Below are 15,129 nucleotides of genomic sequence, written 5' to 3' on the forward strand. Positions count from 1 at the left end.
TCTTAAATCACTGCACCTTGTCAACAACACACTTCCCAGAGGCAGCTGTGACCACAGAACTAACCAGTGACATTGCTGTTCCATGTAAAACCTAAAGCAATCAGCCGTTCTTCACAGTGGACGGTGGGAGGCATCCGTTGTTTCTTCTCTCCTGCCTGTGCAGCATCTCTTCCCATTTTCCACTGAGAGAACCTTGATTATTCTTTGGAATACTCCCCCCTCCCTAAAGCCCCGCCTCTGTTCATGTGGGGCTGTCTCTTGCTCTCTTAGCATCAAGGTGGGCATGAGACCTAGGCCTGGTGAGAATGTTTATTTTTGTTTACATTTATATATCTAAATCTAAGGCTTTTTTTAGCTATAAGAAACAAAGTTAGTTTACATTGGCATCCCCCAGTACTGGCCAGGAAAGAATCAAACCACTCCAGTCTTCCTCTTGGAGGTAAGAGCATGGCATTCAGCATAGTGTAGCGCCACCTAACGGCTGTGGGTGGAGAGTTCCCGGCTGAGACAAGACCTGCCGGTGCTTTGAAGTGAATGGTTCCTTGAGCCACAGATATTCAAGGTAGGCAAATAGAGAGTGTTTTTCTTTATATGTGTCTCCCAGCTAATAAAGCTAGATTAAATGGATAGAATTAAGATTTCACCACTTTGCAACTCTTGATGAAAATAATAGATTAGACAGTGGTCTTCAACAGCTGCCGAAAGTATTAGGTGCAAAGCTGATAGGAAAAGCGGTGTAATGGTAAGGCAAGGATAGAAAACAGCTAATCTTCTAATTAGCAGAAGAGACAGTCCAGGGACAGATCCGTACCTCAGCGTCATCTGACTTACAACAAAGATGCCATTGCAACGCAGCACTGCAGTGGGTGGGGAAGACTGCCTGGACACGTTGGTCTCCCTCACTCCATGTACAGAATCCCTTCTAGATAGATGGTAGACCAAAAGGGGAAAGTAAAATAACAAAGCTTCTAGAAGAAAACATAGGAGAATATCTTCACGACCGCGGGTAGATTTGTTAAACAGGACACAGAACAATAGCCTTAAAAGAAATATTGACAACGTGGACTTTCATTAAAATTGAGCCCTTCTCTTCATCAAAAGATGGCAATAAGAGGGTGAAGAAGCAAGGCAGTGGGAGGAGACTTTTATAATACATGTGTCTGACAAAGGACTCGGCCACAATGTCGAAGAACTGCTGTACTGCAAGCCAGTAGGAAAATGATAGACAACTCAATTTATTAAATGGGCAAAAAACTTGACAGGTACTTCACTGAAGACAAAAGATGTCCCAGCCCAGCGCAGTGGCTCACGCCTATAATCCCAGCACTTTGGGAGGCTGAGGCGGGTGGATCACGAGATCAGGAGATCGAGACCATCCTGGCTAACACGGTGAAACCCCGTCTCTACTGAAACTACAAAAAATTAGCCGGGCGCAGTGGCAGGTGCCTGTAGTCCCAGCTACTTGGGAGGCTGAGGCAGGAAAATGACGTGAACCCGGGAGGCGGAGCTTGCAGTGAGTCAAGATCGTGCCACTGCACTCTAGCCTGGGCGACAGAGCAAGACTCTGTCTCAAAAAGAAAATAATAATAATAATAATAATAATAATAATAATAAAGATGTCCCGAATAGCCAATGAGCATAGAAAAGTTACTCAATATTATTCATTTTTAGGCAAATCCACATTGAAACCAGGATCACATGCCACTGTGTACTCACCAGAATGGCTGAAATTTTAAAGACAGACAAATAAATGATAATCCCAAGTGTTAGTGAAGCTGTGGAGTAACTGGAACTCTTATACACTGTAGGAAGGAAGTAAATACTGTACAACCATTTGGAAACTGACAGCATTTACCAAAGCTAAACATATACGCAGTCTGAGGCTGAGCTCTTCTGTTCTTAGAGAAATGACTGCAGAAATGAATCATCTACCAAAAGATAAGCTTATCACAGGTTTACTCATAATATTTAAAAACTGGAAACAGCCCAAACATTCATCAGCTGTTGGATAAATTGTACAGTGGGTATTCATTCAGTGGAATTCTTCTTAGCAATATAAAACAATAAACTACCAATATAACACCGTGGGTGATTCTCACACAGACAACACAGAGTGAAATAAGCCAGTCTCAGAAGAAGACATAGTGTATGGTTCATTTACACAAAGCTGAAAAACAGGCAAAAACAATTGATGATGCTAGGCTTAAGAATGGATTCTCTTTGGTGATACTGATGGTATTGTTGAGGAAGGAACGTGAGGGAGCCTCTTGGGGACTGAACGTGGTTTGTATCTTGATCTGAATGGTGGTTACATGGTGTATGCATTGGTAAAAATTGACTGAGCTGTCTACTTACGGTCTTTATTGTAGGTATATTATACTTTAGTTAAAAAACTGATTCAGAATTTCATAATGGGCTGATCAAGCTGATATCCGAACACGATGATCTCTCTTAAAACCATAAAACAAGGGACAACCAGATATTTTTGGCTTGCTTCCTAATGAAAGTATACTTTAAGTATCCTTGTATAAATAAATCAATCTTGAATTCTTACCAAGCCCTGGAACTACCTACCGATTTACAGGAAATACAGAGTTAGAAAGCAGCATATTAAATAATATCACAGAGATGTGATGAATGAGAAAAATCTAGGATGTGGGACTCTCTACAGGACACAGATGAACTTGTTTCCTCAACAAATAAATTCTCAAGAAAAAAGAGAGAGCAAAGAGGAACTCACAGAGTAAAATAAATTTGCAAGACATACCAACCAAATCCAATCTGTGGACTTTGCCTAGATGTGGATTTTTTAAAAAGCATCTGTAAGAAACAATCTGAGAGTGGATTTTTTAAAAAAGCAGCTGTAAGAAACAATCTGGGAAACTGGAACACTGACTAGAAATTTGATAATTTTAAAACAGTAATGTTATTATTTTAGGTATGATAGTTATACTGTGTACTGTGTTTAAAAATAAAAAGGTCCCATGGCCGGGCGCGGTGGCTCACACCTGTAATCCCAGCACTTTGGGAGGCCGGGGCGGGCAGATCACTAGGTCAGGAGATTGAGACTATCCTGGCTAACACGGTGAAACCCCATCTCTACTAAAAAAATACAAAAAAATTAGCCGGGCATGGTGGCAGGTGCCTGTAGTCCCAGCTACTCGGGAGGCTGAGGCAGGAGAATGGCGTGAACCCAGGAGGCAGAGCTTGCAGTGAGCCAAGATCGCGCCACTGCACTCCAGCCTGGGTGACAGAGTGAGACTCCATCTCAAAAAAAAAAAAGGTCCCTTATCTCCTTGAGGAGAGAGTGACTGCAGAGTTGATGCAGGGATAGTGCGGGATGAGCCTGGACCATTATGTGGTTGCAGAGAGTAAAGAAATAAAACAGGCTGGGGACTTGTCAGAAAAGAACAAAAGAGCCAGCCTGACGGAGCTCCCACTGGCCAAAGCTGGAACAATGTGAACAAAATCAATATTAGTACCCTTGGATTTTAGCTGATAGAATAAAATTATTATGTATAAGCTCACACTGAAATAAACAAATCATAAAATAAATAAACAATAATAGGGAAGAAGAGACAGCTCTTTCTTAGTGTAGAATGTTGAAAGAGAGGGAAACAGGAAATCACCATTAGGCAAACACCACAGTGATAATTAATTGTTGCAGACAAGATCCACCAACGGATGCTCAAATCAGTGGGCGAGAAACAAAATATTTGCGTAGTCCCAAAATATCTTCCTCCCAGATATTTATTGACTGCAAAGAGAAAGATGATAACTTTATGGTGAGAAAATCTGGCAGACACCATCTTAACAAGTGAGCAAGTTAACATCACCAGTAATAAGACAGATGGACATCCTGAACCCCTGGGAGGAGGGAACATCCCCTCTCTGGTTTTCTTACCGAAATGCACGGCCTTGTTTCCAGTCATGAGAAGACATCAGACAAACCCAAATGAAGGGATGGTCTACATGTTATAGTTTGTGATGACTTCTCAGATTGCGGCTGGGGACGACAGCTACTTTCTACTTCTGTGTTCTACATTCTTTATATTCTACAAATCACTGATCAGTGCTCTTCAAAAGTGTCAAGGTCAGGAAATACAAGGAAAGACTGAAGGAAACTAAGGAGACAGGACAACTACATGCACGACTGGATCCTGGACCAGAAAAAGGACATTCGTGGAGGAACTAGTAAGATGTGACTACAGTCTGTGGTTTAGTTAATAGTATTGTCCCAGCATCACGTTCTTGGTTTGCATAATGCGCTGTGGGCAAGTAAGGTGTTCATATCAGGGAAGTTGGATATGCATTCTCTATGCTATTTTTACATTTCTGCACATCTAACATGGGTTCATAGTAAAAAGTTTTCTTTAAAAAGAGCCTCTATGTTTTATAGATAAATAATGAAATGCCAATGGATTTGTTGTTGTTGTTGTTGTTGTTGTTTGAGAGGGAGTCTCGCTCTGTTGCCCAGGCTGGAGTGCAGTAGCACAATCTCGGCTCACTGCAAGCTCCACCTCCCGGGTTCACGCCATTCTCCTGCCTCAGCCTCCCGAGTAGCTGGGACTACAAGCACCCGCCACCACGCCCGGCTAATTTTTTTTGTATTTTTTAGTAGCGATGGGGTTTCACCGTGTTTAGCCAGGAAGGTCTCGATCTCCTGACCTCGTGATCCACCCACCTTGGCCTCCCAAAGTGCTGGGATTACAGGTGTGAGTCACTGCGCCCAGCTGCTAATGGATGTTTTTAAAGGCCAGATACGTCTTTGAACGTAACCCGTACTTGTCACAGCAATTTTCCTGGCAGAACCTAAATAAGGTTCATTGAAAATTTTCTACCATGGGCCCTTATCGATGAATTGCTGTATCAGAGAATGTGACCAGGGCTGAGGTGAGCTGGGAAAGGCTCTGCAGTCAGGTGACCTGTGGCCAAACACTGCGGATGGCTTGCTCTGTTTGCTTTAATTAAAAGAATCTGCCCAGGTAAGAGGTCCCCCGGCCTCAGAGCCCTTTGTTGTTACTGTTCCCCAGGGTTTAGACAGCTTGTTTCCACAGGTGTTTGCAAGATGCAGTGTAAAGACAGACCGAGTGCAGTCATCTGATCTTTTTCACGACAGGAACGGGGGAGGCCGCAGTGGGACGTTCTGCGCCATCAGCATCGTATGTGAGATGCTCCGGCACCAGAGAACCGTGGATGTCTTTCACGCTGTGAAGACACTGAGGAACAACAAGCCCAACATGGTCGACCTCCTGGTAGGACACCCCCTCTGAGCTGTTCCATGAGACACCCCATTAGCATTAGAATCCACTCCAGCTCCCAGATTTGCAGGGAAACTGATGCGTAGAGGAAGAGACTCATTTTCAAAATCACAATGTAATCACTTTGCTTGTAGGGCTTTTTTCTTCTTTCTTGTTCTCCCTCTTCCTCTCTTTGTTCTTCACACGGAGACTTTGTCTCCAGCTCATTCGAAATGCGGAAATAGCTGAAACTCACAAGTGAACATCCTTATTAACTTCCCTTCCTGGCAGTGCCTTCCATGTGGCTAAGCACTTAGTCTTCACAGAGAAGAAATAATCATAGTACGTGAAATGCCAGATTTTCAAATTATATATTTTATAAATAGCTTAATCGCCTAATATTTATCAAAGCTGTGAATTTTAGTTTGACATCCAGAATATTGCATTTAATTATGGTGGCCATATCTGAGAAAAGTATTAAAGGAGATGAGAAACAAAGGACAATGTACAATTATTTTCTTAAGAGTATTTTATGAAATCTCTTTTTATGTGGAGCTGTTGAAATGCCAACCACCGTGACTCTAGAATAGTTTAAAGGAGGAAGCTTTTAGATTAGGTTTTTGCACTTCTCTGTGAGTGGAGGAAGGATCTGTAGGAAACAGCAGGACTAATCCAAGGTTGGAAAATGGCTTGGGGGCAGGAGAGGGAGGAAGAGATGGCCGATGGGACAAGCGCCAAAGCCAATGTTCCCAGGTCCACAGCATCACAACACTGGGGTTGATGTTAAAAATTAAAATAAAGGGACTTAAGAGGGAGTTGAGAGTCAAGCTGAATTTGAGGAAGTAGCCATGGTCCTCATGCAGTTTAAGAAGTCATAATAGCAGTGCTCCAGGCTGGCTAATAGTAGTGACCAATGACAACGAGCTCCCAAACGTGTCCCACTCATCACGAACCACTCTCCAGGGCATCCACTTTGCCCAGATACATGTCTCGTGCCTGATGAGCTGCTCCATTTCCAAGAAGCATGGCTGTTGGTCAGAAAATTTGTCACACCCACTTGGTTAGGCACACTCTCACCCATCAGCTGTTAGCATGTTGGCTTCTAGAAGGGGCAGAAAGGACTGTGCTCCCCAGACTCCTGCGCCCCTCCTCCCCACCCTACGGGGAGCCCATGGAAACCCAAATTCTAGTCTCAACTCTACTACTAATTCTAGTTAGGTGACCCCAAACACATTAGTTTTGTCATTTAAGTGTCCTTAAGCATGTCACTTAACTCCCTTAGGTTTTAGTTTTGTAAACTAGGGATACCATGAGCTCACTGAGGTACCCAGTGTGCAGAGAGATGTGAAAGTGTTTTGGAAATTGCAAAGGGGAGAGGTGGTTGTAGAGAGTGTAGGAGTCTGCCAGGCGTGATGCCATCAGTGGCCTGGCAGAAGGGCTCTAAGTGCCCTGGATGTAGTAACGGATTTCCTGTGGGTTGTTGAAAGGCTGGTGTGGGGCTTCACTAGGACCGTCTCCCTCCCTGCAATCCCACCTGAATGGTAAAGAGTTCTACCGCCATGGAATTCCCAGTGTTCCAGGATGGAGGCAATTGAGCAAAGAGTGGCCATGCTGTCGGCAGAGGCCTGAGTTTGGGCTAGCAGAGGATAGAAACAAATGCACAAATGAAATATTCTGCCTGTGGCTTTGTGAGGTGGTTAACCTCACTAATTCAGGGACAGGTATGTAGCCTCGAGACTCTGGTTGGTACTTGGGCACAGCTGACCTTGATCAAAAAAAATGTCACTTCCCTCTCACTGCAGCCTGAATTAAGCACATCATTAGAAACAGACCCTTCCAGGCCTTTCCTCTAATGGCTCCAGCTGCAGCTTTCATCACTCACCAGGTTTTATGGGCAGGAGTGATGGGGCTTTTTCCAAATCAGTGGTGCACGCTGAAGGACAGGGGTGATTTTTCGTGAAATAAATGGAGGCTTAGATGGCCGAACCAGAAGGGAGCTTGCGGTCCCAGCCCACGATTCTATCGTAACTTAGGACTTTTTGTATTATGTGTGATCCTGAGGGAGAAGATGGGATTTCTGGGTGCCCAGACCTCCAAAGTCAGCAGCAGGTGGAGGATAAGGTCAGGGTCTGAGAAATGTAGGAAAGTTTTGCAATGTCTGGAGAAAACTATGTGACATATCTGTCACGGGGCTGTTAGCAGGGTATTAGATAATATCTGGTGACAAAGAAAATCTCACCATCCTCTTTTCAGTGGGTTTGAAGCTTCCAGAACTGAATAGGACCTGTTGTCATTTGGTTTTGCCTGTAAATACGACTTCTGTTTAGTTTGGTGTTGATACCTCTGTATGTTGTCTGAGAGAATTAATTAGCTTAGGCCAGGGTGATAAAGTCTGGTACAGTTTTATTGGGCATCACAGGCCATCTGAGGCCTGAGTGTGTCCTAAGCACAGAATGTTGTGCCAGCAGCTGAAAAGAGCAGTGTACTGAGTCTACTTAGCCGCGTCTTCAGAGGATGACGAGCATGTGCCAGACAGCCCTGGGGGCACTTCCGAGTGTCTGCAGAGGCAGGCTAGGGTGCAATAGAGGGGCCCTCGCCCCAGCCCCACCAGATCACATGTGTGGCTGCATTCCCTCATGGTCCCTTCCGTTCAGAACAGGCAAATGCTACCGCTCTACCCTCCCTGCCAGGGCGGGTGAGCACACAGAGGGACGCTGTGTCTCTCACCATCTCCCTTTGCAGCTCTGATTGTTCTAAATTGCTTCTGAGTGGGAAGATTCGTCGGTTCGTGTTGAAGCATGACACTCTCCAGGGAGATCCAGAAAGCCCTCAAGATGTATTTCTGCAAATTTTTAGCTTTGGGAGCTCTGGAGAAAAGCCAGTGGATTGCCAGGAGGCAAAATAGTTTCTAATACAAGACTAGATTTTTTTGTATCCAGCAGGGGCAGCTGCATTTTTCCTGACCCCTTTTTCAGCCCGCTTCTAAGTTATCCATCTCTTCAACCAGCCTCAAGTCCCCATCAAAGAACTGGGTCCCCAGAGGATGGACAAGGACAGCACAGCCTGAGATTCCCCACGACTCGCCTAGTTATATTCAGAAGGAGTGCTGGCACCTGAGCTCCTTTGAAGAGACTCCGGCTGCAGGAAAGCGGCTGCTTCACGCTGGCAGCTCCCCTCTCACTTTTGCCTTCCTTAATGGCTTTTGAAGTTCCCAGGGCTCTGTTTTAACATAGAAATGGTCTTCAAGGGCAGATCTTGCCTAGAGAAACATAGTGTCCCCTGTGAGGTGGTGGGAACTTTGGAAGACTCCCCTCCACAGCCTAGTGCACTGCCCAGGAAGTGAACAACTGGCCCCATCATTTACCCAAATGCCTTGGGCAGGGCTGACAAAGCTGCCTCTGCAGGTAATTACACACTTTAATATGGAGTGCAGTGGCGTGATCATAGCTCACTGCAGCCTCAAACCCCTGGGCTCAAGCCATCCTCCCACCTCAGCCTCTCAAGTAGCTGGAACTAAAGGGGCATGCAACCATGCCTGGCTGGTTTTTTATTTTTATTTTTATTTTTTTAGAGATGGGAGTCTTGCAGTTTTGCCCAGGCTGGTTTCAAACTCCTGGCCTCAAGCAGTCCTCCTGCCTCAGCCTCTCAAAATGCTGGGATTACAGGCATGAGCCACAGTGCCTGGCCTGGCATCTTATCTTAGTTTCATGCCATTCTGCACATATTTCTCAGCCTCTGTTCTATGTGCAGCATCACTGGGCATTGATGCAAGAGAAGTAGAAGATACAGTCTCTCCCACATGGAGCTTAGAACTCACTGGAGATGCAAAAGTCCTACCTGAACCTCAGTTTTCTCATCTGTAAAGTGGGAGTAAGAATATTAAGCCTGGCCAAACACGGTGGCTCACGCCTGTAATCCCAGCACTTAGGGAGGCCGAGGTGGGCAGATCACCTGAGGTCAGGAGTTTGAGACCAGCCTGGCCAACCAACATGGTGAAACCCCTTCTTTACTAAAAATATAAAAATTAGCCGGGCGTGGTGGCAGGCACCTGTAATCCCAGCTACTTGGGAGGCTGAGGCAGAAGAATCACTTGAACTCAGGAGGCAGAGGTTGCAGTGAGCTGAGATCGCACCACTGCACTCTAGCCTAGGTAACAGAGTGAGACTCCTTCTCAAAAAAAAAAAAAAAAACTATTAATTCAGTCACAAAAGGCCACATATTCTATGACTCCTTGTCTGTGAAATGTTCAAAACAGACAAATCCATGAGACAGAAAGTAGAGTAGTGGCTGCTGAGGGCTGGGGGAGGGAGATGGGGGTGACTGCTGATAGGCACAGGGTTTCTTTCTGAGGTGATGGGAATGTTTTAAACTTAGATTGTATATAAGTCTGTAAATATACTGAAAACCACTGAACTGTGTTAAAGTACAAAATTACAACACATTTAATTTGAAGGTCTAATTGGCTTGTATTAGTGACCCTAGAATCAGGCAACATGTCATTCTGTAAAATAGAACGAGTGCTCCAAGGAGCTGAGCAGAGGAGGCTGCTTTATAGGCAGAAAAAAGCTTGAGAAGGCAGAGACAGGGAACACAACGCAGATCGGTTGTTTCAAACTTCCTTCCATCATACGGTTAAAACAGAAGGGACTTCTTTATCATGGCAGCTCAGGAAAACCGGGTCGCTTCTGACTGGTTGTTGCACTTCTCCTGATGTTTGGAAAGCTGCCCTATTTCAAAGTTCAGTTGGATGGCGACGTAGCACCTAGCACGAGGGACTCCATTCTGGTTTGGTCTAGTCTGTCAGGGCCTCATCCAAACAGTGGCCTCTCATGAACTTTATGTAACAACTGTATCCTTTAAAGAGGCCAATTTTATGGTATGTGAATTATATCTCAACAAAGCTGTTGTTTTTTACAAAGTAACATCAAAAACAACAAAAAAGAATACTGTTCATAGAAGGCTACGGGGCTTTTCTGTTTATGGAACATGTCCCAAGAGTTATCTTGTTATACTCAGTCACCTTCACCAAAGCCAGAAGAGGTGCTGCCGCTGCACCCCCTTTACAGAGAAGTCTAGCGTTTCGTCATTCGTGCAAGCCAAATCCAGATCCGGATCCCTCCTCCCAGCTCCAAGCCTGCTGATGTTCAACCACCCTACAAGGAGCCCCCCAAGCTTTCTCCCAGCCTAGAGGCTGGACACCAGCGGGGCTCTCAGGGTTCATGATGTGTGGAAAAGGTAAGGGAAAAAAATCGACAACTAAAAGCCATTAGACGAAAATTCCAAATAGAATGTAGCCGGATAAGCAGTCCCAACCCACCTGGGAGTCTGAAAGGGAGGGCCCTGTAGGAAGGTGATGGTCATAACCCTTCGCTGGGTTGATTTGTTACTGAGTTGCTGGGAGAAATCCAGGATAAAGGGTGGTAAAGCAGTGCATGCTCTTGCACCGGGAGAAAAAGGGCACAGGTTAGTGTAGGGGACCTGAGAACAGGGCAGAGCTCAATCACTGTGTGTGTGAGCTTCATCTCAGACCAGGTGTAACAGGAACAGCCCCGTCCACCATCACGTGCCTTGTAAGATTCAGAAAAGAGCATCTCCTCAGTGGTTCTCAAGCCTGGTTGCCCACTGAAGTCATCTGGGAGCTTTAGAACAATTCTGATCCCTGGGCCCACCTGGAGACTGATTCGATTGGTCAGGGGCCTGGCTGCAGCAGCCGAGTGTTAAAAGCCCCTGGTGAGTCTCATGTGCAGCCTAGCTTAAGAACCATGTCTGCTCTAGACGCAGTATCAGCCCAGGCTGCACTTGAGAATCCGCCCACCCCCAACTCCCGGGGGAGCTTTCAGAAATACCAGTGCACAGGCCTGCCCCAGCCCACTTCAGCCAGAGGCTCTGAGATGGAGCCCCCGCCAGGTAGGATAGACGTGCCACACGGCTGAGAAAGTTGGTGTAGGAGGATCAGCGGGCCTCTCCCTTCCCTGCAGTGCCATGCGGCGGTGTTCACAGCTCGCCGCCCCCTCCCCCTCCGTCCCACTTACTCCAGAGCCAGGCCCCATCCTGATCTGCGGATCTGCCGCACAGGTTCAGGTTGCCCCCTCTGTAACTTACAGCCGACCCTCCAGACTCAGCCTCACCTCCCCTTTAGTAAGCCAACAATGGACTCACATACAAAATGCAATGTGGTGTGGGGCCTACAGCTCTCCCCCTTGTGCCACCAACTGGTGTGTATAGGCTGTCCCTCAATAGCTCTTGCTGTGAAATTTGCAGCCTATTTAACGGCTGTGCATGTGTGTGTGCATGTGTTGGGGTGGTGAGTGCAGGAGTTGGGTGGGAATCAGAGGTGAGCTAGGGTCCCCAATCCACACTCCAGGCACCTTGAATCCACCCATGGTCAGTCTTCCTGCACTGTTGAGGAAGGTTTGTAATAATTTTTGCTAATACCCCATCCCCTCTCCCCACCCCCAGATTCCACTTGCCCATCCTGCCCCCTACACTCAGCACCAGCCAAGCGCCTGGCTCCCAGGAGTTTCCCAGTAAGCATTTTCTGAGTGACTGAACCATTCTTCTCTGCAGCCAGACCTGAGTCCAACCTGAGCCACCCTTTGCTGCCCTCTCCAACCTAGGGGAGGTTGTGGCTGTGCTCAGCAGGGCCTCAATAAGGAACTGGGCATGGATTTTGCAGGGGGCTTTGGTGAAGAAAGTTCTACCTATAGGTATTAAAGATAGAGATTAAGGGAATGAGCCACTCATCATTCCAGGGACATGCTGCTGTCTCGCTGAGCAGGGATGAGAATTTATTGGTCTCCTTGGCACAGAGTGGCTGGCCACAACCTGGCTGGGAACACTGAACTGAGGGATCCCACCACGGTAATAGGGCCCACGCTGCCCTTCTGGCAGGGCATCACTCAGAAGAATTTTTCCAGCCCGAAGGATCTGTCCGTTCAGGGTCTAGCCAAAATCATAGAGCTTGCCTTAGTTTCAAAAGCAACCAGGTCAGAGGTGGAGGCTATTCTCTTTGAACCTTTGGAGGCCGTTGATGTGGTGTTTGAAGTGCCCACGCTGGCCGCCAGCCTGAGTTCCTTAGACACAGGCAGCCTGCGCAGACGACAAGGCTCGGGCCCCTGACGGAGGCCCCCAGTGCCGCCCGCTGGTGTGCTGGCCTCGTGACGCCCTCACCAAGCTAGCAGTGGCTTTTAACAGCCAACCTCAATTTCCAGTTCCCTTGCACATTTTGCTTTCTCCCACTCATAGGTACAGGAAGTCTGATCGGGAGCGGGGCCAGCGTCAGGGACCTTGGTGAGGAATAGCAGCAGGTTGCCCTGGTTACGGTCTGACCCAAGGATGTGAGGAGGACCGGGCCAGGCTCCCACCTGAGCCCCTACTCAGGGCACCTCCTCATGCCCGAAGCCAGCTAATGTCACCCAAATTGGAGCACTCAGGACCAAGGCCTAAACATTCCTTTTTCCCCTGGAGCACAGGGATGGCTCATGTGGCTTAATTATACTGTTCAAAAGGGAGTGAGCTGAGAGAGGAAACTGCAGCAGATAGACCTATACCTGGTAATCAAATGTAATCAGTTTCCAATGTAGGAAGATTTCAGGCATTTACCCAGGTGCTTGGGGGAGGGGACACAACAATTTGTGGTCTTCCTTCTCTTTCCCCTTATTTTTCTGATTCAGAAACCAGTCATCACAGAATCTATGGGGACTGGGTGCTTGCTCAGGAAGGATAAGGTGGGAGAGGGAGAATTCATTTTGAAAATTATAGTCATGCCTGAGACAGGGCAGCTTCGGTGACTTCCAAGCAGCAGCTCCTTAGCAGCGAAGCCCAAAATCCCTCCTGAGTTTCCGGCCTGTGTTGTGGCCTGAGGGCAGCAGCCACATCTCTCCACTAGGTGCATTTTAACATGTTAAAAGGAAATATGTTAAAAGGATGGCTCTGAGTAGCCACTGAAATTAATTGCACAATTAGGCTTGTATAAAATCTTTTTTATGCAGTAAGGGATGGGACCGTGTAGATTTCCATTACAGAAAGAATTGTCCCTGTGATTCACAAAAGCATGATGGGAGCACTTCACAGCCAAGATGTCGGCCTGGTGATCTGACAACGTGGCCTTTTGGAATTTTGAAATTCCAATTATCTCTTTTAAATATTCTGAAAATAAAAGTATCAAATCCTGAAATAATAAATACTAGAATATGAATCAGAAATCTAATTTTGCCCAGGGCAAGAAATAATTTTTTCCAGTTAAAAAGTTAAAAAAATACTTCTACCTTTATTGGCATTGTGTGTGGAAAAAGTGGTCTATTTAAGGGAAATACAGGCTAGTAAAATATTTGTTATTTGCACTAGGAGATAATTTAAGGAACACCTTCTCAAATGTCATCAGACTTACTTTAAAGGCAAACCAAGTCCAAAAGTTCTAAATTGAGAAAGCTGGAAGGGAAACTTAAATATGATCCAACCCCCTGTTTTATGACCAGAGGGGAATGGATTGGCCAAGATGTCGGGGATGGTTAATAGGACCTCAGGCTCCTGGTCAGTGTGGGGCACTCAGACCCATGAGTCTAGAAAGCAAAGAACAACTGGATTCATGTTTCCTATGTCAGAGTCCACCCAGTTGCAGTTCCACCTGAGTCCTTCACAGACATTAAAGGTAGGATTCACATCATGGAATAAGCATTTTTCTACTAGCGATTTGTTTAATAAAGCTTTATTGGAATATAATTTGCATGCCATAACATTTCCCCTTTTAGATGGAAATAATAGACACTGGGAACTCCAAAAGAGCAGGGAGGAGAGGGAGGGTTGAAAAATTACCTGTTGGGTATAACATTCGATTGTAATCAGTTTCCAGTGTTTTGCATTCCTACCAGCCGTGTAATGCACTATGAACATTCATTTGGGGGATGAATACCCTAGGAGCCCAATCCCCACCATTACATGTGTAATACCCATGTAATAAACAAGCACATGTACCCCAAATAAAAAAAAATCCCCTTTTAAAGTGTGTCATTCACTGGTTTTCAGTGTATTCACAGAGTTATGCAACCATCACCACAAACCAAATGTTTAACATTTCCATCACCCACTTAGCCCCCTCAAAGAAATCCTAGACCTACTAGCAGCCACTCCCCATTACCCACTTCCAGGCTCTGGCAACCACCCTTCAGCTTCCAGTCTTTATAGATTTGCATGTGCTGGGTGTTTTCATAGAAAAGGAGTGTGTGCCCTTTTGAATCTGATTTCTTTCACTCAGCAGATTCATCCATGCTTCAGTTCATCCACGTTGTAACATGGATTAGTACTTCATTCCTTTTCATAGCCAAGTAATATTCCACTTTATGGCTATACTACATTTTATTGATGTACATTTGAGTTGTTTACCCTTTTTGGCTGTTAGGAATAATGCTCTGTGAACATTTGTTTACAGAGTTTTTGTGTATACGTATGTTTTCAGTTTCCTTAGGTGTACACCCAGTAGTAGAATTGCTAGGTCATATGGGAATTCTGTGTTTAACCTTTTGAGGAGCTGCCAGACGGTTTTCCAAAGTGGCTGCACCGTTTGACATTCCCTCCAGCCGTGTATGAGGGTTCGCTTTCTCCACGCCCTCGCTAACACCTGCGATTTTCTTGTTATGTGAGCCTTCTCGTGAATGTTATTCCACTGACATTAATCTCATGGCACCGTCAGTGATTGAAATGATCTTCTTGTTCTCTGTCTTCGCCTCTGGATCATGACCTTCCCGAGGACTGAATGTGTCATAAAATCCCCAGTCTCTAGCAGTACATGTGTATTGAGTTGGATCACATGCTGCTGGACCCATGGCTTGTCATCATGTGTACATGTAGCCGACTTTGACTCTCAACTGTGTCAGTTCTGGGCTAGAGACTG

At 45.9% G+C, this 15,129-nt stretch overlaps 1 protein-coding gene and 1 long non-coding RNA gene across 30 annotated transcripts in view, besides 1 other annotated feature; both read left to right on the top strand.

Moving 5' to 3' along the window:
- The window catches only part of PTPRM (protein tyrosine phosphatase receptor type M), an 839,541-nt gene that overhangs the window by 822,041 nt on the left and 2,371 nt on the right, over positions 1-15,129 (top strand). For all 29 annotated transcript variants that reach the window (XM_011525708.3, XM_047437715.1, XM_011525712.3 and 26 more), the window contains one exon: positions 5,120-5,255. In XM_011525708.3, the coding sequence (XP_011524010.1) occupies positions 5,120-5,255 (136 nt within the window). The remainder of the gene's footprint in view (positions 1-5,119; positions 5,256-15,129) is intronic.
- Positions 5,268-14,241, top strand: LOC124904241 (uncharacterized). Its single transcript, XR_007066275.1, has 2 exons — positions 5,268-8,644; positions 10,257-14,241. It is a non-coding gene; the product is annotated as an uncharacterized LOC124904241 (long non-coding RNA).
- Positions 11,868-12,398: an enhancer, noted in NCBI's record as "H3K4me1 hESC enhancer chr18:8401222-8401752 (GRCh37/hg19 assembly coordinates)". NCBI's record gives its function as "activates a minimal SCP1, AML or CMV promoter by ChIP-STARR-seq in naive H9 embryonic stem cells {active_cell/tissue: H9 hESC(naive)}" and the evidence as "EXISTENCE:reporter gene assay evidence [ECO:0000049][PMID:30033119]".

This window comes from Homo sapiens, chromosome 18, assembly GCF_000001405.40.
Source record: "Homo sapiens chromosome 18, GRCh38.p14 Primary Assembly".
In the NCBI taxonomy this organism is placed as follows: domain Eukaryota; kingdom Metazoa; phylum Chordata; class Mammalia; order Primates; family Hominidae; genus Homo; species Homo sapiens.